Source organism: Homo sapiens, chromosome 4 (genome assembly GCF_000001405.40).
Source record: "Homo sapiens chromosome 4, GRCh38.p14 Primary Assembly".
Taxonomy (NCBI): Eukaryota; Metazoa; Chordata; class Mammalia; order Primates; family Hominidae; genus Homo; species Homo sapiens.
This window is the reverse complement of record NC_000004.12, coordinates 72,120,052-72,143,385: the sequence shown is the minus strand read 5'-3', so window position 1 is coordinate 72,143,385 and position 23,334 is coordinate 72,120,052. Positions and strand designations below refer to the sequence as shown.

Below are 23,334 nucleotides of genomic sequence, written 5' to 3'. Positions count from 1 at the left end.
TGCAATTTACACAAATGGCCAATTGCACAATTGGCTATCCCTAGTTCTCAGGCTTTGGGACTTGGACTGAATAATATCACTGGCTTTCTGAGGTCTCCAATTTACAGGCAGCATATTCTGAGATTTCTCAGTTTTCATAATTATGAGTCAATTTCTCGTAATAAATCTCTCTCTTTGTGGACAAATGTACCACTTCACCTGCCTTGTTCCAGCTGAACTACCTCTCTACATTTCTCTGAACAAGTGCCTCCTATTTCAATGCCATAAGTATATACTTGTCTTAAGGGATGCCCTTTTCCCAGTTTCTTCTAAGGGTAAATTTCTGACTTCTCCAGGAATCAGAAGGTCTCACTTCTTTTGTGAATCCACTACTCCCTGTCCTAATAGGTAGAATTGATTATTATCTCTTTTGCATAGCTGTCAAACACTGGTCACCTATTAGAAAGCATTATTTGTAAATATTTGTTAATGACTTTGCCTGCTCCGCCAGATTGTAGCCTTCCTGAGGCAGCACTTCTAATTTGTTTTAGATGTTACCAACCCAGCCCAGTATCTGGCACATCATAAATGCTCAACAACATGTGTGAATGAATGAATGGATGAATGATTTTCAATCTTAAAATCTAGATAAAATTTCAGATTTTAGCTCATTTGCATTTCTGCTGTTAGAAACGTCTATATTGTAGTGTGAAAAATAGGGAAATTTTACCATCTCCAATTATTTATTTTTAAAGTATGGAAAATTCAATAGTTTCATTTTCTTATTACTGAAACTTTAGTAGGTATGTTGCTTTTAAAGAGGTAGATATTCTCAGGTTCCGTTCCAAAATGGCCGGATAGGAACAGCTGTGGTCTGCAGCTCCCAGCATGATAGATGCAGAAGATGGGTTATTTCTGCATTTCCACCTGAGGTACCTGGTTCATCTCACTGGGACTGGTTGGACAGTGGGTGCAGCCCACGGAGGGTGAGCCAAAGCAGGACGGGGCATCACCTTAGCTGGGAAGCAAAAGGGGTTGGGGAATTTCCCTTTCCTAGCCAAGGGAAGCCATGACAGACTGTACCTGGAAAATCGGGACACTCTCGCCAATGACAGGATCAAATTCAAATATAACGCTATTAACCTTAAATGTAAATGCGATAAATGCCCCAATTAAAAGACACAGACTGGCAAATTGGATAGAGTCAAGACCCATCACTGTGCCGTATTCAGGAGACCCATCTCACATGCAGAGACACATATAGAATCAAAAGAAAGGGATGGAGGAAGATCTACCAAGTAAATGGAAAGCAAAAAAAGGCAGGGGTTGCAACCCTAGTCTCTGATAAAACAGACGTTAAACTGACAAAGATCAAAAGAGACAAAGAAGGCCATTGCATAATGGTAAAGGGATCAATTCAACAATAAGAAATAACGATCCTAAATATATATGCACCCAATACAGGAGCACCCAGATTCATAAAGCAAGTCCTTAGAGACCTACAAATAGACTTAGACTCCCACACAATAATAATGGGAGACTTTAACACCCCACTGTCAATATTAGACAGATCAATGAGACAGAATGTTAACAATGATATCCAGGACTTGAACTCAGCTCGCAACAAGTGGACCTAATAGATGCCTACCGAACTCTCCACCCCAAATCAACAGCATATACATTCTTCTCAGCACCACATCACACTTACTCCAAAACTGACCACATAGTTGGAAGTAAAGCACTCCTCAGCAAATGTAAAAGAACAGAAATCACAACAAACTGTCACTCAGACCACAGTGCAATCAAATTAGAACTCAGGATTAAGAAACCCACTCAAAACAGCACAACTATATGGAAGCTGAACAACCTGCTCCTGAATGACTACTGGGTAAATAATGAAATGAAGGCAGAAATAAAGATGTTCTTTGAAATCAATGAGGACAAAGACACAACATACCAGAATCTCTGGGACACATTTAAAGCAGTGTGTAGAGGGAAATTTATAGCACTAAATGCCTACAAGAGAAAGCAGGAAAGATCTAAAATCCACACCCTAACATCACAATTAAAAGAACTAGAGGAGCAAGAGCAAACAAATTCAAAAGCTAACAGAAGGCAAGAACTAACTAAGATCAGAGCAGAACTGAAGGAGATAGAGACACAAAAAACCCTTAAAAAAATTAATGAATCCAGGAGCTGGTTTTTTTTTAAAGATCAACAAAATTGATAGACTACTAGCAACACTAATAAAGGAGAAAAGAGAGAAGAATCAAATAGACGCAATAAAAATGATAAAGGGGATATCACCACTGATCCCACAGAAATACAAACTACTATCAGAGAATACTATAAACACCTCTATGCAAATAAACTAGAAAATCTAAAAGAAATGGATAAATTCCTGGACACGTACACCCTTCCAAGACTAAACCAAGAAGTTGAATCTCTGAACAGACCAATAACAGGCTCTGAAATTGAGGCAATAATTAATAGCTTACCAACCAAAAAAAGTCCAGGACGAGACGAATTCACAGCTGAATTCTACCAGAGGTACAAAGAGGAGCTGGTACTATACCTTCTGAAACTATTCCAATCAATAGAAAAAGAGGGAATCCTCTTTAACTCATTTTATGAGGCCAGCATCATCCTGATACCAAAGCCTGGTAGAGACACCCCCCAAAAAAAAGAGAATTTTAGACCAATATCCCTGATGAACATCGATCCGGAAATCCTCAATGAAATACTGGCAAATAGAATCCAGCAGCACATCAAAAAACTTATCCACCATGATCAAGTCTGCTTCATCCCTGTGATGCAAGGCTGGTTCAACATATGCAAATCAATAAATGTAAGCCATCACATGAACAGAACCAATGACAAACACCACATGATTATCTCAATAAATGCAGAAAAGGCCTTTGACAAAATTCAACAGCCCTTCATGCTAAAAACTCTCAATAATCTAGGTATTGATGGAATGTATCTCAAAATAATAAGAGCTATTTTTTGACAAACCCACAGCCAACATTATACTGAATGGGCAAAAACTGAAAGCATTCCCTTTGAAAACTGGCACAAGTCAGGGTCGACCTCTCTCACCACTCCTATTCAACATAGTGTTGGAAGTTCTGGCCAAGGCAATCAGGCAACAGAAAGCAATAAAGTGTATTCAATTAGGAAAGGAGGAAGTCAAATTGTTCCTCTTTGCAGATGACGTCATTGTATATTTAGAAAACCCCATAATCTCAGCCCAAAATCTCCTTAAGCTGATAAGCAACTTCAGCAAAGTCTCAGGATACAAAATCAATGTGCAAAAATCACAAGCATTCCTATACACCAATAACAGACAAACAGAGAGCCAAATCATGAGTGAACTCCCATTCACAATTGCTACAAAGAGAATAAAATACCTAGGAATCCAACTTACAAGGGATGTGAAGGACCTCTTCAAGGAGAACTACAAACCACTGCTCAACGAAATAAAAGAGGACACAAACAAACGGAAGAACATTCATGCTCATGGATAGAAAGAATCAATATCGTGAAAATGACCATACTGCCCAAGGTAATTTATAGATTCAATGCCATCTCCATCAAGCTACCATTGACTTTCTTCACAGAATTGGAAAAATCTACTTTAAAGTTCATATGGAACTAAAAAAGAGCCCGCATTGCCAAGATAATCCTAAGCCAAAAGAACCAAGCTGTAGGCATCATGCTACCCAACTTCAAACTATACTACAAGGCTACAGTAACCAAAACAGCATGGTAGTGGTATCAAAACAGAGAGATAGACCAATGGAACAGAACAGAGGCCTCAGAAATAACACCACACATCTACATCCATCTGATTTTTGACAAACCTGACGAAAACAAGCAATGGGAAAGGATTCCCCATTTAATAAACGGTGCTGGGAAAACTGTCTAGCCATATGTGGAAAGCTGAAACTGGATCCTTTCCTTATACCTCACACAAAAATTAATTCAAGATGGATTAAAGACTTAAATGTTAGACCTGAAACCATAAAAAACCTAGAAGAAAACCTAAGCAATACCATTCAGGACATAGGAATGGGCAAGGACTTCATGACTAAAACAACAAAAGCAATGGCAACAAAAGCCAAAATAGACAAATGGGATCTAATTAAGCTAAAGAATTTCTGCACAGCAAAAGAAACTACCATCAGAGTGAACAGACAACCTACAGAATGGGAGAAAATTTTTGCAATCTACCCTTCTGACAAAGGGCTAATATCCAGAATCTACAAAGAACTTAAACAAATTTACAAGAAAAAAACAACCCCATCAAAAAGTGGGCAAAGTATATGAACAGACACCTCTCAAAAGAAGACATTTGTGCAGCCAACAGATATATGAAAAAATGCTCATCATCACTGGTCATCAGAGAAATGCAAATCACAACCACAATGAGATACCATCTCACACCAGTTAGAAAGGTCATCATTAAAAAGTCAGGAAACAACAGATGCTGGAGAGGGTGTGCAGAAATTGGAACACTTTTACACTGTTGGTAGGAGTGTAAACTAGTTCAGTCACTGGGGAAGACAGTGTGACGATTCCTCAAGGACCTAGAATTAGAAATACCATTTGACCCAGCAATCCCATTACTAGGTATATACCCAAAGGATTATAAAGCATGCTACTATAAAGACACATGCACACGTATGTTTATTGTGGCACTATTCACAATAGCAAAGACTTGGAACCAACCAAAATATCCTTCAATGATATACTGGATTAAGAAAATTGTGGCACATATACACCATGGAATACTATGCAGCCATAAAAAGGATGAGTTCATGTCCTTTACAGGGACATGGATGCAGCTGGAAACCATCATTCTCAGCTAACTATCACAAGGACAGAAAACCAAACACCACATGTTCTCACTCATAGGTGGGAATAGAACAATGAGAACACTTGGACACACGGCAGGGAACATCACACACTGGGGCCTGCATTGGGTGGGGGGGCAGGGGCAGGGATAACATTAGGAGAAATACCTAATGTAAATGACGAGTTGATGGGTGCAGCACACCAACATGGCACATGTATACATATGGAAGAAACCTGCACGTTGTGCACATGTACCCTAGAACTTAAAGTATAATAATTTAAAAAAAGAGGTAGATATTGTGAATACAATTTGAAAAGATATGTCCAAATTTAGTAGGTTATATATTTTTCTGGTATACTAGTTGCAGACATGCCAATTTTTCTGGATTCAGAGTTTGGTGCAGACTTACCTATCTACAGCAATTGCAACTAACGTAAAGACTGAAGCTGCGACAGATATTCCCTGGACCAATCCACTGATCTTGCACATCGTGTTTCCAAATGGCCATCCTGAAAGGAAAATGAAACAGTCTTTCAAAAGATCATATTTTCAAAATCTCACTGAAAATGAAAATAGAAAGTTGTGGAAACGAGACTAATGTAACTGTTTTCTACATGATAGGCAGAGAAAAATCAATGTTTCTCAGTATTTCCCCTAATATCTCCAGAGCTCTGCTTTTCAGTACACTAACAATAATGTCAAAACTTACATAGTAGTTATCACATTCCAGGCACTATAAGTGGTCTCTGTCTATTAACATATCTAATCCTCACAACAGGCTTTTGAAGGCTTTGTTATTTTCCTCACAATATAGACGAGGTAACAAATAAACAAATATTACATACTTTGCCACGGCTAGTTAGGAGCATTTTAAGAATTTGAACCTGGGAAGTAAGACTCCAGAGTCTAAACCATTGACTCTGATGCAATAATGCCCTTTAAATGAATAAACAGTCAGAACGTCGGTTTTCTAGTTTGGAAAGGCACCCCAAAATTATGAGGAATCAGGAGTTACATACAGAATAAAATGTTTTTATTAATATAGACTGAAATGAGACAATTAACCCCAGAGACACATCCAGAATAAAGAGCACTTTGCATGAACAAAAGTATTACTTTCCTACTAAACCTTAGCTACTGTAAAGTTTATAAAAGAAAATAATAAAATTATTGTAGTAGTTTGCTATTCTAAACACCCATCTGCTATTACAGAAAAGGAACAATATTCTTCTCCTAGCAAATATTCTCATTTCTCAAAAGATGAATATTATGCATTTCTCAGAGTTTTGAAATTTATTTTTTTAATTTTTCTGCAATTTATTTTCTGAAACAAAATATTCTTACACATAAAGTATTTTTAAATAACCTAAATAATTCAAGTATATCTTTTAAAAGTCACCTATCCAGATCATATTATAATAAATGCTTGAGTGACTCTAGTGAGTGGAAACTAAAAGAGAATGTCTTTTTCAGTTCTAAAATGTGTTAGCTTATGATAGTATTATTTGTCAACAAAAATGCAAAAAACTGTGTCTAGCCGTTGGTTGAAAATGGAATATTAAGCATATATTTTACCTTATCTCCCTCACACAATTCCACTGAAATGATAGGTGTAGGATAAAAGAGCATAAATCCTTAGAAATTAAAGTGCCAGATACTACTAAATGTGAGATTGAGAAAACAACATGATTGGTGGAAATTATATATAAATCCAATTAGATGCCACTGGCTTTTTCCTCATGTTGATAGAAGAATGGAGGTTTACTCTCTGAGGAGGCAGAACCATAAGTACTCTAAACCCCGAGTCACCAGGTGCGGGGGTAATGAGTGCCACTGTGATGCAGAAGGATTAAGCGAAAGTATACCGCTGCACTGCATGGCAATGTGGAATGTAACAGCCAGCCCTACATTCCTACGGCAGTATGTTAGAAAATCTCCTTCTGGAAAAAGTGACCTGTTCAATAACACTGATATGCAGATTTTTACAGTTGGGAATTTCCCAATGAATAGTCCAGACTAATGAAGTGGACAGTAGTCCTAACCTTATCCTCCAGGCATGCAGAACTTCCAGGCAGCCACGCTATGCCTCACTCTGAAACACAGAAGCTAAGAAGCAGTTAACTAGATCTAGTCTTTTTTTTTCTGGTGGTGTTTTGTTTTGTTTTGGTTTGTTTGTTTCTTTGTTTTGAGACAGGGTGGAGTGCAGTGGCGTGATCATGGTTCACTGTAGCCTTAACCCCTCTGCTCCTACCACCACTGTGTCCCCAGGCTCAAGCCATCCTCCTACCTCAAGCTCCTGAGTAGCTGGGAATACAGGTGCAGTCCACCACACCAGTTATTTTAAAAAAAATTTTTAGTAGAGATGGGGTCTCATTATGTTGCCTAGGCTGGTTTTGAACTCCTAGGCTCAAGTAATCCTCTCATCTTGGCCTCCCCAAGTGTTGAAATTACAGGCATGAGCCACTGCACCTAGCCTTAGAGCTAGTATATGATAGCACAACAGAGTGACTACAGTCAAGAATAATTTATTGTATATTTAGCAATAACTAAGAGTAGAATTGAAATGTTCTTAACATAAAGAAATGATAAATGCTTGAGGTGATGGATATCCCAAATGCCCTAATATGATTATTACCCTAATATGATTATTACACATTATATGCCTATATCAAAACATCATATGTACCCCATAAATATACACATATGTACCCATATTAACTAAAAAAAAAACAAATTAAAACAATTTTTAAATGCAATGAAAAATAAGCAGTTAACACTAGGGAAACCTCAAACATAAAAGAAAAAGACTAACACACATAGGAAGAAAAATACTTATAGGAAAACCAAATTGAGTCAGACATATGAAAAATAGAAAACAGAAAAAACTATTACTAATAACACCAGAGATATAATGCACTTTGTCCGTGAAACATGTACATGATACTGCTTGTATCATGATACTGTTGTATCATGGTGGGAACTACAGAAATATGCAGAAAATAAAAATAACTCAAAATATTTAAGATAACGGTAACAGTATTGAGGAGTTCAACATAAAGTTTAAAAGAGAAAGTTGAGACAATCCTTGAAAATAGAAGAATGAGGGGCAAAAAATTAAAGTAAAAAGATGAAAAAAATTAAAAGAGCAATCCAGAATCTCTAATATCTGATTAATATGAGTAGAAGAAAGAAAAACAGAAAAGAACTCCACAAGAAAATTCCCTAAGATTAAAGGCCACTCATTTTCAGATTGCAAAGCCCGAATTTATATCCAGCACAATAAATACAAAATAAAAAGGCTTACTTCAAAGCATAGTTTCATGGAATTGAGAACATTAGGGATAAAGGGAAGTTCTAAAAGATTTCCATAAGAAAAACAAAATACAAATCATGGGCAAAAGAAGAAAGAATTAAATATCATGTTTTTTCAGCAGTAATACCATATTTTATAGCAGTAGCAATAGAGTAATTCCTTTGAAATTCTGACAGAAGAAATTTCCAACCTAGACTTCTTCATACAGCTAACTAATTAAGTGTGAGGGCAGAATAAAGATACTTGCAGACAAATAAGAGCTCAAACGTTTCATCTCAATAAACCATTTCTCAGAAAGGAATAAACCAAAAAAAGAAGGGGACATGGCATCCAGAAAATGGGGTTGTACACAAAGAGAGGTGAAGAGAGTTGTTAGGGTATCAGTGAAGGGGTATCCCAGAGCAGGAGCTGCTCTGCCCTGGGAGTAACGTGTTCCTATAAAGAGAACAGAAAACACCGGGAAACGTACCTGCACGTATATTTATAGATACCTGATATGTTTAAAGGTATTGACAAGAGAGTAACACCTCTGGAAGAGAATTTGAGGATACATTACTAATGAGTACACACCCAAACTAAGCAAATCAAAATATACCCTTAATAAATCTAGGAAAATGAAAAACATTTTATAAGAGAGAAATTGATACAGCACTTTCCAAGGCTCAGCACGGATAAGATATATGTAAAATAAGAATGTATATTCTGTATGTTGATTCAAACAAAAATTGTGATATAATTATACCAGGAGAATGTGAGAAGGTGAAGTGTATGAATGTATGTTTGTGCTGATGTGGTGAAAGTTGATGACAACTCAATTTACATCTATGAGAGTTTGAAGGAAAAATATTGAAAACATGTTATTTAGAAATATAGTAGTAATTACAAAAAAAAAGCAAAAATTGCTGAAGGTGGCTGCCTCCTGAGAAGGCAAACAAAGAGCTAAAGATGGGTAATTTTTATTTTTTATTTTTGGAGACAGTCTCTCTCTCTGTCACCCAGGCTGGAGTGCAGTGGCACGATCTCGGCTCACTGCAACCTCACCTCCAGGGTTCAAGTGATTATCATGCTTCAGCTTCCTGAGTGGCTGGAATTACAGGTGCACGCCACCATACCAGGCTAATTTTTGTATTTTTCATAGAGATGGGGTTTCACCATGTTGGCCAGGCTGGTCTTGAATTCCTGGCCTCAAGTGATCTGTCTGCCTTGGCCTCCCAAAATGCTGGGATTACAGGTGTGAGCCACTCTGCCTGGCCAAGGATGGGTAATTTGTATGCAAGAACTTTAAACTAATTAATGTAATTTAAAATATGTATGGGACAAAATATTGAGAGCACTTTTTATTGGCAAAATAACTTTCCTAAAAGTCTCAGGGTAAAAAAAAATCAATGTACAAAAATCACTGGCATTCCTATACATCCACAACAGTCAAGCCGAGAGCCAAATCAGGAACTCAATCTCATTCAAAATTTCCACAAACAGAATAAAATATCTAGGAATACAGCTAACTACGGAGGTGAAAGATTTCTACAAGGAGAACTACAAAACACTGTTCAAAGAAATCCATGATGACACAAACAAATAGAAAAACACTCCATGCCCACGGATAGGAAGAATCAATATCATGAAAATGGCCATACTGCCCAAAGCAATTTATAGATTCCATGCTATCCCTATTAAATCACCAATGACATTCTTTACAGAACTAGAAAAATTATTTTAAAATTCATATGGAAGCAAAAAAGAGCCTGAATAGCTAAAGCAATCCTAAGTAAAAAGAACAAAGCTGGAGGCATTATGCTACCCAACTTCAAACTATACCACAAGGCTATGGTAATGAAAATAGCATGGTACTAGTACAAAAATAGACACATAGACCAATGGAACAGAATAGAGAACCCAGAAACAAATCCATGCACCTACAAATATCTAACCTTCAACAAAGCTAACAAAAACAATGGGCAAGTAATGGGGAAAGGACTCCCTATTTAATAAATCATGCTGGGATAACTGGCTAGCCATGTGCAGAAGATTGAAACCACACCCCTTCCTTATACCATGTACAAAATTTAACTCAAGATGGATTAAGGACTTAAAGGTAAAACCCAAAACTATGAAAACTCTGGAAGACAACTAGGCAATACCATTCTGGACATAGGAACAGGCAAAAATTTCACTAGGAAGACACCAAAAGCAATCACAACAAAGGCAAAAATTTACAAATGGAATCTATTAATAATTAAACTAAAGAGCTTCCACATGACAAAAGAAAATATCAACAGAGTAAAGAGACAACCTACATACTGAGAGAAAATTTTTGCAAACTTTGCATTTGACTAAGGTCTAATATCCAGCATCTAAAAGGAACTTAAACAAATTTACAAAAAATAAACAACCCCATTAAAAAGTGGGCAAAGGACATGAACAGATATTTTTCAAAAGAAGACATACATGTGGCCAACAAACATATGAAAAAAAGCTCAACATCACTGAATATTAGAGAAATGTAAATAAAAACCACAATGGGATATCATCCCACACCAGTCAGAGTGGCTACTATTAAAAAGTCAAAAAGTAACAGATGTTGGCAAAATTGTGGAGAAAAATAAACACTTTCACACTGTTGGTGCAAATGTAAATGAGTTCAACCATTCTGGAGGACAATGTGGCAATGCCTCAAAGACCTAAAGACAGAACTACCATTCAACCCAGCAATCCCAATACTAGGTATATACCCAGAGGAATATAAATTGTTCTATTATAAAGACACATGTATGTGTATGTTCACTGCAGCACTATTCACGATAGCAAAGACATGGAATCAATCTAAATACCCATCAATGGTAGATGAATAAAGAAAATGTGGTAGATATACACCATGGAATACTATGTAGCCATAAGAAAGAATGAGCTCATGTCCTTTGACGGAACATGGATGGAGCTGGAGGCCATTATCTGCAGCAAACTAATGCAGGAACAGGAAACCCAATACTACATGTTACTATTTATATGTGGGAGCTAATGATGAGATAGAGGGGAACGACACGTACTGGGGCCTATCAGAGGGTAGAGGGAGTAAGGACGAAGAGACTCAGGAAAAAAAAAAAACCAATGGGTACTAGGCTTAATACCTGGGTGACAAAATAATCTGTACAACAAACCCCCATGACACAAGTTTACCTGTGTAATAAACTTGTACATGTACCCCTGAATTAAAAATAGAAGTTAAATTAAAAAAAAACTTGTCTGGGAGTGATAACAATAATTATCAATTTGTACACCCTCTTTTTTTTTTAACATTTATTGTACTTTTATTTCAATGCTCAATTTACAGAAAAATCCTATAATACCCCTTTGAATTTAGTAAATATGTTCACACATACAGTTTTTGCAAGATTAGTTTTTAGAATCCTTCCATCATTTGTTTAAACCTTCAGCTTTATCTTATCTAATTCAAAACAATCCTTCAACCCTAGGCAAAAATTTACATTTCCATGCTTTTTTATAATCTTTTAGTAAAATCACATTTTACTGTTCTTACAAATCACCCATGTAAATCTATTTCCAGTAGTCTGAATTACATGTTATAATGTTATATAATGTTATAATGTTAAATGTTATAACTCCTAGCAATTTTTTTTTATTACACTTTAAGTTTTAGGGTACATGTGCACATTGTGCAGGTTAGTTACATATGTATACATGTGCCATGCTGGTGCGCTGCACCCACTAACTCGTCATCTAGCATTAGGTATATCTCCTAGTGCTATCCCTCCCCCCTCCCCCCACCCCACAACAGTCCCCAGAGTGTGATATTCCCCTTCCTGTGTCCATGTGATCTCATTGTTCAATTCCCACCTATGAGTGAGAATATGCGGTGTACACCCTCTTTTTGTTTAGCACAGTATCTTGATAATGTAACTGATATGGACAGGAGGCAAGGAAATACTAGTTAGAAAAGGGCGCAGTCCCTGGCAAGGACTCCACCTTCAAGCTTGGACCTTGGGCTCTAAGTGAGAACATGCAATCCTGTTTTCCCACCTGAAATTTGCCTTTTTCAAAACCATCCTGCCCTGCCACGCCCCGCATCCTATACCTATAAAAACCCCAGGTTCCAATGGCACAGCAGCAGAGTGGTGCGGCAGAGAAGGAGAGAAGACAAGAAGCATCTGAACATCGAGAAAAAAAACAGCTGGGCATTGGAGACTATGGTTGGAGAGGAGTTCAACCAGGGACCATCAATCATCTTCCCACTCCATCCCCGTTCCAGCTCTCTATCCTGCTGAGAGCCACTTCCACCGCTCAATAAAATCCTCCACATTCACCACACTTCAATTCGTTCATGCGACCTGATTCTTCCTGAATGCCAGACAGGAACTCAGGTACCAAGAGGACAGGTGCAAAATGCTGTCACCCTGACCCTCCACTGAGCTGGTTAACACTTAGCTGTCTGCTTTCTGGGGCTCCAGGGGTCACAGGCAACCTCTAGACACAGCCCTGGGGCTGGTACAGGATTAGTTACTGCTGGCACCCAAAAGCACTTGCCCTAGCTCCTGCACCCTCTCACCTGCATGCTCCCCCTCCCACAAGGGGCTTGAGAGTTGCAGGTGGAGTAAGGGAGCCGCCCCTTCACCAGTCCCAAGCAGGGGTCAAGGGAAGGGTCCTTTCATCACAACCTCAATAAAATTTTTTTTTAATGATAAACATCACAAAAACTCAGATCTATGCAGTAAGGTAAAGTACTTCTGTGGGCCCAGAAGTACTTTAGGGTGCTACCCTAAGCTTTACAATGTAAACTTATGTTGCACACATAAACTACCACTTTTTGAAAAATCATTAATATTGTTGCATCTTCTCTCAAAAACTGTTGGAAATCTCTCTAGCTAACCACATGAGGGCCTAAATTTCTACTTATGTCAGACTGAAGACATAATCATATCAGATGTGTCAGTTCTTTGGACCTTACAGTTCATAGTGATATTTCTATCATCTTACATGTGCCCTGAACTTTATTAAGAAAATACAAAGGTTTCAGGTAAGACATAATTGTGGGGAAAAGCAAGAGAGATCAGATTGTTACTGTGTCTGTGTAGAAAGAAGTAGACATAGGAGACTCCATTTTGTTAGGTACTAAGAAAAATTCTTCTGCCTTGAGATTCTGTTAATCTATGACCTTACCCCCAACCCCGTGCTCTCTGAAACATGTGCTGTGTCAACTCAGAGTTGAATGGATTAAGGGCGGTGCAGGATGTGCTTTGTTAAACAGATGCTTGAGGGCAGCATGCTCCTTAAGAGTCATCACCACTCCCTAATCTCAAGTACCCAGGGACACAAAAACTGCGGAAGGCCGCAGGGACCTCTGCCTAGGAAAGCCAGGTATTGTCCAAGGTTTCTCCCCATGTGATAGTCTGAAATATGGCCTCGTGGGAAGGGAAAGACCTGACCGTCCCCCAGCCCGACACCCGTAAAGGGTCTGTGCTGAGGAGGATTAGTAAAAGAGGAAGGAATGCCTCTTGCAGTTGAGACAAGAGGAAGGCATCTGTCTCCTGCCTGTCCCTGGGCAATGGAATGTCTCGGTATAAAACCCGATTGTATGCTCCATCTACTGAGATAGGGAAAAACCGCCTTAGGGCTGGAGGTGGGACCTGCGGGCAGCAATACTGCTTTGTAAAGCACTGAGATGTTTATGTGTATGCATATCTAAAAGCACAGCACTTAATCCTTTACATTGTCTATGATGCCAAGACCTTTGTTCACGTGTTTGTCTGCTGACCCTCTCCCCACAATTGTCTTGTGACCCTGACACATCCCCCTCTTTGAGAAACACCCACAGATGATCAATAAATACTAAGGGAACTCAGAGGCTGGCGGGATCCTCCATATGCTGAACGCTGGTTCCCCGGGTCCCCTTATTTCTTTCTCTATACTTTGTCTCTGTGTCTTTTTCTTTTCCAAATCTCTCGTCCCACCTTACGAGAAACACCCACAGGTGTGTAGGGGCAACCCACCCCTACACATAATAAATCTTATTTTCTCATGACCTCCAGTGAATACTCTATAAAAATAGCAGCCTCCACTTTCTGTTTCTATTATATCACTTTTACTTTCCTTCAGAATCCTTCTCATTCTCTAATATAATTATTTATTGTCCATCTAGTCCTTCAGAATGCAGATCCAATGAGGGCAGGTGCCTGGATCAGTTCCTGGAATTCCATAAATATATGTAAATAAATGAATGAATGAACAGCCCTGCCAATGGCTGCTGAAATATGGGACAAATATTTCATATTATCTTCAAACTGCACAAAAGCCAACATACCTGCTATAATATTGTCCAGCAGTGTTATAGGCATGCAGAATATGCCAACTAGTAAATCACTTATGGCCAGGTTTAAGATGAAGAGATTAGTGACTGTGTGCATATGTTTGTTCCTCATTACAATAAAGCAAACCACAGTATTTCCCATCATGCACAAAAAGAAGATCAGAAAGTAGGAAATAATGAAGATTGCTGCCACTTGAGGCTGGTGAAGATAGTAGTTCACATAGGTAATATTAATATCTGAGTACAGATGATGCTTTGTGTCATTGACATTCCAGATGGGATGCCAGTTTTCTGAAGAGTTTGTGTCCCATTTCTCATTCATGATGAACCTTAATAAAGAAGAGACAGAAAAGAAAAACATAATTAGGAACCAGTAAAGCATAAATTCTGTGCCTGAGTTTAAGAGGAACACTTGTAAAATGCCATGGAATTTTTGTGGTCTTTCTATAATAATCTATAAGTTTTACATAAAACTGAATTATAAATAAGGCACTGAAATTATTAGGATTTTAACCAAGAGCATTTGAAAATTCCAATTTGTGCCATAAGTAATGGTTATTATTATATTTTATTTCTAATACACTCTATATTTCACTTCTTTTGGCATGCACTCTATCCATTTCCCTTGCCTTCCAAAACTCTCCTTCCCTCTACCTCCAGGTATCATATTCTGTCAAGACTCACTTATTAATTTAAAGCTAACTCACATGCCTCTAGCTTTCCTGATAATCTGAAGAAGATACGAGGTCTACATTTTTGAAACTCCTAAAGAAATAACTTCTTGTATTTGCCATATTCTGCTCTGACTCAATTAATTTAATATTATTAATTTGTTTTGCAGGGGTTTCACTCTGTCACCTGGATGGGAGTGCAGTGGCACCATCTCAGCTCACTATAGCCTTGATCTCTCAGGTTCAAGTGATCCTCCTGCCTCACCCCCCAAGTAGCTGAGACCACAGGTGCACGCCATCATGACCAGCTAATTTTTGTATTTCTAGTAGAGATGGAGTTTTGCCACGTTGCCCAGTCTGGTCTTGAACTCCTGAGTTCGAGTGATCCACCCACCTTAGCCTCCCAAAATGCTAGGATTACAGGCATGAGCCACCGTGCGTGGCCTGAATATTATTTTTTTATATTTCTGTATGCAGACACAGCCACCATATTGTGAGTCTCTTAATATAGGGCTAGGTTACTTGTCTTGGTTTCACTTAGCATAATTCTGTTCTTACACAATGTATCAAGAAATTATTGGGCCGGGCGCGGTGGCTCACGCCTGTAATCCCAGCACTTTGGGAGGCCGAGGCGGGCGGATCACGAGGTCAGGAGATCGAGACCATCCTGGCTAACACGGTGAAACCCCGTCTCTACTAAAAATACAAAAAATTAGCCGGGCGTGGTGGCGGGCGCCTGTGGTCCCAGCTACTCGGGAGGCTGAGGCAGGAGAATGGCGTGAACCCGGGAGGCGGAGCTTGCAGTGAGCCGAGATCGCGCCACTGCACTCCAGCCTGGGCGACAGAGCGAGACTCCGTCTCAAAAAAAAAAAAAAAAAAAAAGAAAAGAAATTATTTAGAATCTGTATGACTTTTTTTTTTTTTTTTTTTTTTTTTTTTGAGATGGAGTCTAGCTCTGTCACCCAGGCTGGAGTGCAGTGGCGCGATCTCGGCTCACTGCAAGCTCCACCTCCCGGGTTCACGCCATTCTCCCGCCTCACCCTCCCGAGTAGCTGGGACTACAGGCACCCGCCACCACGCCCAGCGAATTTTTTTTGTATTTTTAGTAGAGACGGGGTTTCACTGTGTTAACCAGGATGGTCTGGATCTCCTGACCTCGTGATCTGCCTGCCTCAGCCTCCCAAAGTGCTGGGATTACAGGCGTGAGCCACCGCACCCGGCCTATATGTCTTAATGTAGACAGCTTCCCCACAACTACTCCTAGGTATGGTGATTCACTAGAAAGACTTGCAGGACCCAGCATATAATGCATTCACACTAATATTTATTAAAGTGAAGGATGCAAAACAAAATCAGGAATGGAAAATGTACATGGGGTGAAGACTGCAGGAAATTAGGCATAGGCCCCATGCACTTAATCTCAGTGGACTCACATAGAACATGCCTAATTCCTCCAGTAACAAATTGTGAAAACACATGTAAAGTATTGTCAACCAGAGAAGCTCACTAGAGACTCAACACCCAGGGTTTTTCTTGGAGGATGATCAAGTGGGGATCTTCTTCCTAGCATATATCAAAATTCCAGACTCCCAGATAGAAAGTAGATATTCAGCATAAACCATGTTGTTTGTACAAACAGTCTAGGCATAGTGAGCCACTCATCATTTAAGTAAACCTGTGTATCAGTATAGGAAGTGTTTATTATTTAAGTTCCCAGACTCCAACCAAGAGCCAACTTAGCAAGCAGGCTTTTCTAAGGGTAGCAGCCTCAGGCCTGCTTGTTATCTCTTTTCTGCACACCTTGTTAATTAATTGAACAGAAGGTTATATCTGCCCATAAATGAAAATGAATTTGACAGTGGGCTTATAAAATTGACCTCCCCACACTGTTGGTGTGTTCCAGCAAAGAATTATAAATGACTGCTTAAAGCAGTGGACAAAAATTTGAAACAGGATAGTTACATAGTCTGAAATTATCTACCCACAAGATACTTTATTAATTTCAAAGTTAAAATTGTAACTTTTCAGTGAAAAAACTGGGCAGATTCTACCGTAGTTAAATGATCCAAGATAACGTTTTGGATAATGAGATGCAAGTATATCATATGCTCCTTGATGTAATGCATGAGAATTCAACATCAGTTTAGCAATATTTTTGTCAAAAATGCATAATCTTATCCTGAGGAAATATTAGAAAATTTCTAAATTAGAAAAATTCCATAAATGTAAAATATTTCAATATTAATCTACCTCAGAAATGAATGAATGCTTATTGTCCTTAGCTATAAAATTTAAACTTCCTACCACCTATGGTCAGCAGCATAATGGCTTCCCAAGTGTCTCTGTCCAAATCTCCAGAACTTCTGAATAGGTTAGGTTACATGACAGAGGGGAATTAAGGTTGCTAGTTAGCTTATATTAAAATAGGATATCCTGGTTATATAGGTGGGCTTAATGTAATCGTGAGAGTCCTTAAAAGTGGAAGAGACAAAGAAGCATCAGTATTAGAGCTCTTCCAGGTGAGACCAACTTGATGGGCCTTTGCTGGCTTTAAAGATTAAAAGGACCATGAGCCAAGGAATGCAGACAACGTGTAGTAGCTGGAAAAGAAAAGCAAGAAGTCAGATTCTTCTGTAGAGCCTTAAGAAAAAAAACGCAGCCTTGCCAATATCTTGATTTTAGCCTAGTGGAAACCATTCCAGACTTCTGGCCTTCAGAACTACAAGATAACAAATGTGTGCTATTTTAGACACTAAGTGTGACAACTTGGTACCGCACTAATAGGAAATCAATAGACCACCTATACTTCCCAATTTTTGTAGTATTACCTGAGATCTTTTCCTTGGACTTTCTATATACATAGTTGAGAGGTTGGAGGTTTTCTTTTCCACAATGGTTGAACTAATTTAAACTTCCACAACAGTGTAAAAGCATTCCCTTTTCTCCACATGTTCTCCAGCATCTGTTGTTTCCTGACTTTTTAATGATTGCAATTCTAACTGGCGTGAGATGGTATCTCATTGTAGTTTTGATTTGCATTTCTCTAATGACCAGTGATGATGAGCTTTTTTTCCATATGTTTGTTAGCCTCATAAATGTCCTCTTTTGAGAAGTGTCTGTTCGTATCCTTCACCCACTTTTTGATGGGGTTGTTTTTTCTGGTAAATTTGTTTAAATTCCTTGTAGATTCTGGATATTAGCCCTTTGTCAGATGGATAGATGGATAGATTGCAAAAATTTTCTCCCATTTTGTAGGTTGCCTGTTCACTCTGATGATAGTTTCTTTTGCTGCACAGAAGCTCTTTAGTTTCATTGGATCTCATTTGTCAATTTTGGCTTTTATTGCCATTGTTTTTGGTGTTTTAGTCATGAAGTCCTTGCCCATGCCTATGTCCTGAATGGTATTGCCTAGGTTTTCTTCTAGGGTTTTTATGGTTTTAGGTCTTACATTTAGTCTTTAATCCGTCTTGGTTAATTTTTGTGTAAGGTGTAAGGAAGGGGTCCAGTTTCAGCCTTCTACATATGGCTAGCCAGTTTTCCCAGCACCATTTATTAAGTAGGGAATCCTTTCCCCATTTCTTGTTTTTGTCAGGTTTGTCAAAGATCAGATGGTTGTAGATATGTGGCATTATTTCTGAGGCCTCTATTCTGTTCCACGGTCTATATATCTGTTTTGGTACTGGTACCATGCTGTTTACTGGTACCAAACCGTACTGTAACTGTACAGTTACAGTAGCCTTGTAGTACAGTTTGAAGTCAGGTAGCCTGATGCCTCCAGCTTTGTTCTTTTTGCTTAGAATTGTCTTGGCTATATGGGCTCTTTTTTGGTTCCATATGAAATTTACAGTAGTTTTTCTAATTCTGTGAAGAAAGTCAGTCGTAGCTTGATGGGGATAGCATTGACTCTATAAAATACTTTTGTCAGGAAGGCCATTTTTCATGATATTGATTCTTCCTATCCATGGGCATTGCTTGTGTCCTCTCTTAGTTCCTTGAGCAGTGGTTTGTAGTTCTCCTTGAAGAGGTCCTTCACATACCTTGTAAGTTGTATTCCTAGGTATTTTATTCTTTTTGTAGCAATTGTGAATGGGAGTTCACTCATGATTTGGCTCTATTTTTCTATTACTGGTATATAGGAATGTTTGTGATTTTTGCACATTGATTTGGTATCCTGAGACTTTGCTGAAGTTGCTTATCAGCTTAAGGAGATTTTGGGCTGAGACGATGGGGTTTTCTAAATATACAATCATATCATCTGCAAACAGGAACAATTTGACTTCCTCCTTTCCTAATTGAATACACCTTATTGCTTTCTGTTGCCTGATTGCCTTGGCCAGAACTTCCAACACTATGTTGAATAGGAGTGGTGAGAGAGGTCATCCCTGACTTGTGCCAGTTTTCAAAGGCAATGCTTCCAGTTTTTGCCTATTCAGTATGATATTTGCTGTGGATTTGTCATAAATAGCTCTTATTATTTTAAGATACATTCCATCAATATCTAGTTTATTGAGAGTTTTTAGCATGAAGGGCTGTTGAATTTTGTCAAAGGCCTTTTCTGCATCTATTGAGATAATCATGTGGTTTTTGTGATTGGTTCTGTTTATGTGATGGATTACGTTGATTGATTTACATATTTTGAACCAGCCTTGCATCCCAAGGATGAAGTCAACTTGATCATGGTGGTAAACTTTTTGATGTGCTGCCTCATTTGGTTTGCCAGTATTTTATCGAGGATTTTTGCATCAATGTTCATCAGAGATATTGGCCTGAAATTTTCTTTTTTGTTGTGTCTCTGCCAGGTTTTGGTATCCTGATGATGCTGGCCTCATTCCATGAGTTAGGGAGGAGTCCCTCTTTTTCTATTGTTTGGAAGAGTTTCAGAAGTAACGGTACCAGCTCCTCTTTGTACCTCTGGTAGAATTCGGCTGTGAATCCATCTGGTTCTGGGCTTTTTTTGGTTGTTAGGCTATTAATTACTGCCTCAGTTTCAGAACTTGTTATTGGTCTGTTCAGGGATTCAACTTCTTCCTGGTTTAGTCTTGGGAGGGTGTATGTGTCCAGGAATGTATCCATTTCTTCTAGATTTTCTAGTTTATTTGCACAGAGGTGTTTATAGTATTCTGATGGTAGTTTATATTTCTGTGGGATCAGTGATGATAATCAGTGATGATATCCCCTTTATAATTTTTTATTGTGTCTATTTGATTCTTCTCTCTTTTCTTCTTTATTAATGTGCCTAGTGGTCTACATATTTTGTTAATCTTTTCAAAAAAACCAGCTCCTGGATTCATTGATATTTTCAAGCGTTTTTCATGTCTCTATCTCCTTCAGCTCTGCTCTGATCTTAGTTATTTCTTGTCTTCTGCTAGCTTTTGAATTTGTTTGCTCTTGCTTCTCTAGTTCTTTTAATTGTGATGTTAGGGTGTCAATTTTAGATCTTTCCTGCTTTCTCTTATGGGCACTAAATGCACACAGGAGAAAGCAGGAAGATCTATTAATTGTGTCCTAGAGATTCTGGTACATGGTGTCTTTGTTCTCATTGGTTTCAAAGAACTTACTTATTTCTGCCTTAATTTCAATTTTTAACCAGTAGTCATTTGGGAGCAGAATGTTCGGTTTCTATGTAGTTGTGCAGTTTTGAGTGAGTTTCTTAATCCTGAGTTCTAATTTGACTGCACTGTGGTCTGAGAGACTGTTTGTTATGATTTCTGTTCTTTTGCATTTGCTGAGGAGTATTTTACTTCCAATTATGTGGTCAATTTTAGAATAAGTGTGACGTGGTGCTGAGAAGAACGTATAGTCTCTTTATTTGGGCTGGAGAGTTCTGTAGATGTCTGTTAGGTCTGCTTGGTCCAGAGCTGAGTTCAAGTCCTGAATATTTTTGTTAACTTCTGTCTCATCAGTCTGTCTAATATTGACAGTGGGGTGTTAAAGTCTCCCACTACTATTGCGTGGGAGTCTAAGTCTCTTTGTAGGTGTCTAAGAACTTGTTTTATGAATCTGGGTGCTCCTGTATGGGTGCATATAAATTTAAGTTAGTTAGCTCTTCTGGTTGCATTGATCCCTTTACCATTATGTAATGCTTTTCCTTATCTTTTTTGATCTTTGTCAGTTTAAAGTCTGTTTTATCAGACACTAGGATTGCAACCCCTGCTTTTTTTTTTGCTTTTCATTTGCCTGGTAAATATTCCTCCATCCCTTTATTTTGAGCCTATTTGTTTCTTTGCAAGTGAGATGGGTCTCCTGAATACAGCACACCAGTGGATTTTGACTCTTTATCCGATTTGCCAGTGTGTGTCTTTTACTTGGGGCATTTAGCCCATTTACATTTAAGGTTAATATTGATATGTGTGAATTTTATCCTCTCATTATGATGCTAGCTGGTAATTTTGCCTGTTAGTTGATACAGTTTCTTCATAGCGTTGATGGTCTTTACAATTTGGTATGTTTTTGCAGTGGCTGGTACCGGTTTTTCCTTTCCATGTTTAGTGCTTCCTTCAGGAGCTCTTGTAAGGCAGGCCTGGTGGTGACAAAATCTCTCAGCATTTGCTTCTCTGTAAAGGATTTTATTTCTCCTTCACTTATGAAGCTTAGTTTGGCTAGATATGAAATTCTGGGTTGAAAATTCTTTTCTTTAAGAATGTTGAATATTGGCCCCTACTCTCTTCTTGCTTGTAGGGTTTCTGCAGAGAGATTGGCTGTTAATCTGACTGGCTTCCCTTTGTGGGTAATGCAACCTTTCTCTCTGGTTGCCCTTAAGATTTTTTCCTTCATTTCAACCTCAGTGAATCTGATGATTATGTTTCTTGGTGTTTCTCTTCTCAGGGAGTATCTTTGTGGTGTTCTCTGTATTTCCTGAATTTGAATGTCAGCCTTTCTTGCTAGGTTGGGGAAGTTCTCCTGGATAATATCCTGAAAAGTGTTTTCCCACTTGGTTCTATTCTCCCTGTCACTTTCAGGTACACCAGTCAAACAAAGGTTTGGTCTTTTCACATTGTACCATATTTCTTGGAGGCTTTGTTTGTTCCTTTTCATTCTTTTTTCTCTAGTCTTGTCTTCACGCTTTATTTCATTAAGTTGATCATCAATCTCTGATATCCTTTCTTCCGCTTGATCGATTTGGCTATTGATAGTTGTTTATGTTTCATGAAGTTCTCGTGCTGTGTTTTTCAGCTCCGTCAGGTCATTTATGTTCTTCTCTAAACTGGTTATTCTAGTTAGCAATTCCTCTAACCTTTTTTCAAGGTTCTTAGCTTCCTTGCATTGGGTTAGAACATGCTCCTTTAGCTTGGAAGAGTTTGTTATTACCCACCTTCTGAAGCCCACTTCTGTCAATTTGTCAAACTCATTCTCCATCCAGTTTTGTTCCTTTGCTGGCAAGGAGTTGTGGTCCTTTGGAGGAGAAAAGGCATTCTGGTTTTTGGAATTTTTGTGCTGGTTTCTCCTCATTTTCATGTATTTATCTACCTTTGGTCTTTGATGTTGGTGACCTATGGATGGGGTTTTGGTGTGGACTTCCTTTTTGTTGATGTTGATGCTATTCCTTTCTGTTTGTTAGTTTTCCTTCTAACAGTCAGGCCCCTCTGCTGCAGGTCTACTAGAGTTTGCTGGAGGTTCACTCCAGACCCTATTTGCCTGGGTATCACCAGCAGAGGCTGCAGAACAGCAAAGATTACTGCCTGTTCCTTCCTCTGGAAGCTTTGTCCCAGAGGGGCCCCTGCCAGATGCCAGCCAGAGCTCTCCTGTTTGAGGTGTCTGTCAACCCTTGCTGGGAGGTGTCTCCCAGTCAGGGGACTCAGGGGTCAGGGACCCACTTGAGGAGGCAGTCTGGCCCTTAGCAGAGCTGGAGCACTGTGCTGGGAGATCTGCTGCTCTTTTCAGAGCCAGCAGGCAGGAATGTTTAAGTTTGTTGAAGTTGCACCCACAGCCGCTCTTCCCCCAGGTGCTCTGTCCCAGGGAGATTTTATCTATAAGCCCCTGTTTGGGCTGCTGCCTTTCTTTCAGAGATGCCCTGCCCAGAGAGGAGGAATCTAGAGAGGTAGTCTGGCTACTGTGGCTTTGCCACCCAGTTTGAACTTCCTGGAGGCTTTGTTTACACTGGGAGAGGAAAACTGCCTACTCAAGCCTCAGTAATGGTGGACGTCCCTCCCCCCACTAAGCTGGAGCCTCCCAGGTCTACTTCAGACTGCTG

General features: G+C 38.9%; 1 protein-coding gene across 4 annotated transcripts in view; it reads right to left on the bottom strand.

Moving 5' to 3' along the window:
* The window catches only part of NPFFR2 (neuropeptide FF receptor 2), a 116,306-nt gene that overhangs the window by 4,920 nt on the left and 88,052 nt on the right, over positions 1-23,334 (bottom strand). For 3 of the 4 annotated variants that reach the window (NM_004885.3, NM_001144756.2, NM_053036.3), the window contains 2 exons: positions 14,467-14,801; positions 5,247-5,346 (listed from right to left, as the gene is read on the bottom strand). In NM_004885.3, the coding sequence (NP_004876.3) occupies positions 5,247-5,346; positions 14,467-14,794 (428 nt within the window). In that variant the 5' untranslated portion in view covers positions 14,795-14,801. The remainder of the gene's footprint in view (positions 1-5,246; positions 5,347-14,466; positions 14,802-23,334) is intronic. The other variant, XM_011531554.3, reaches the window with a different exon arrangement.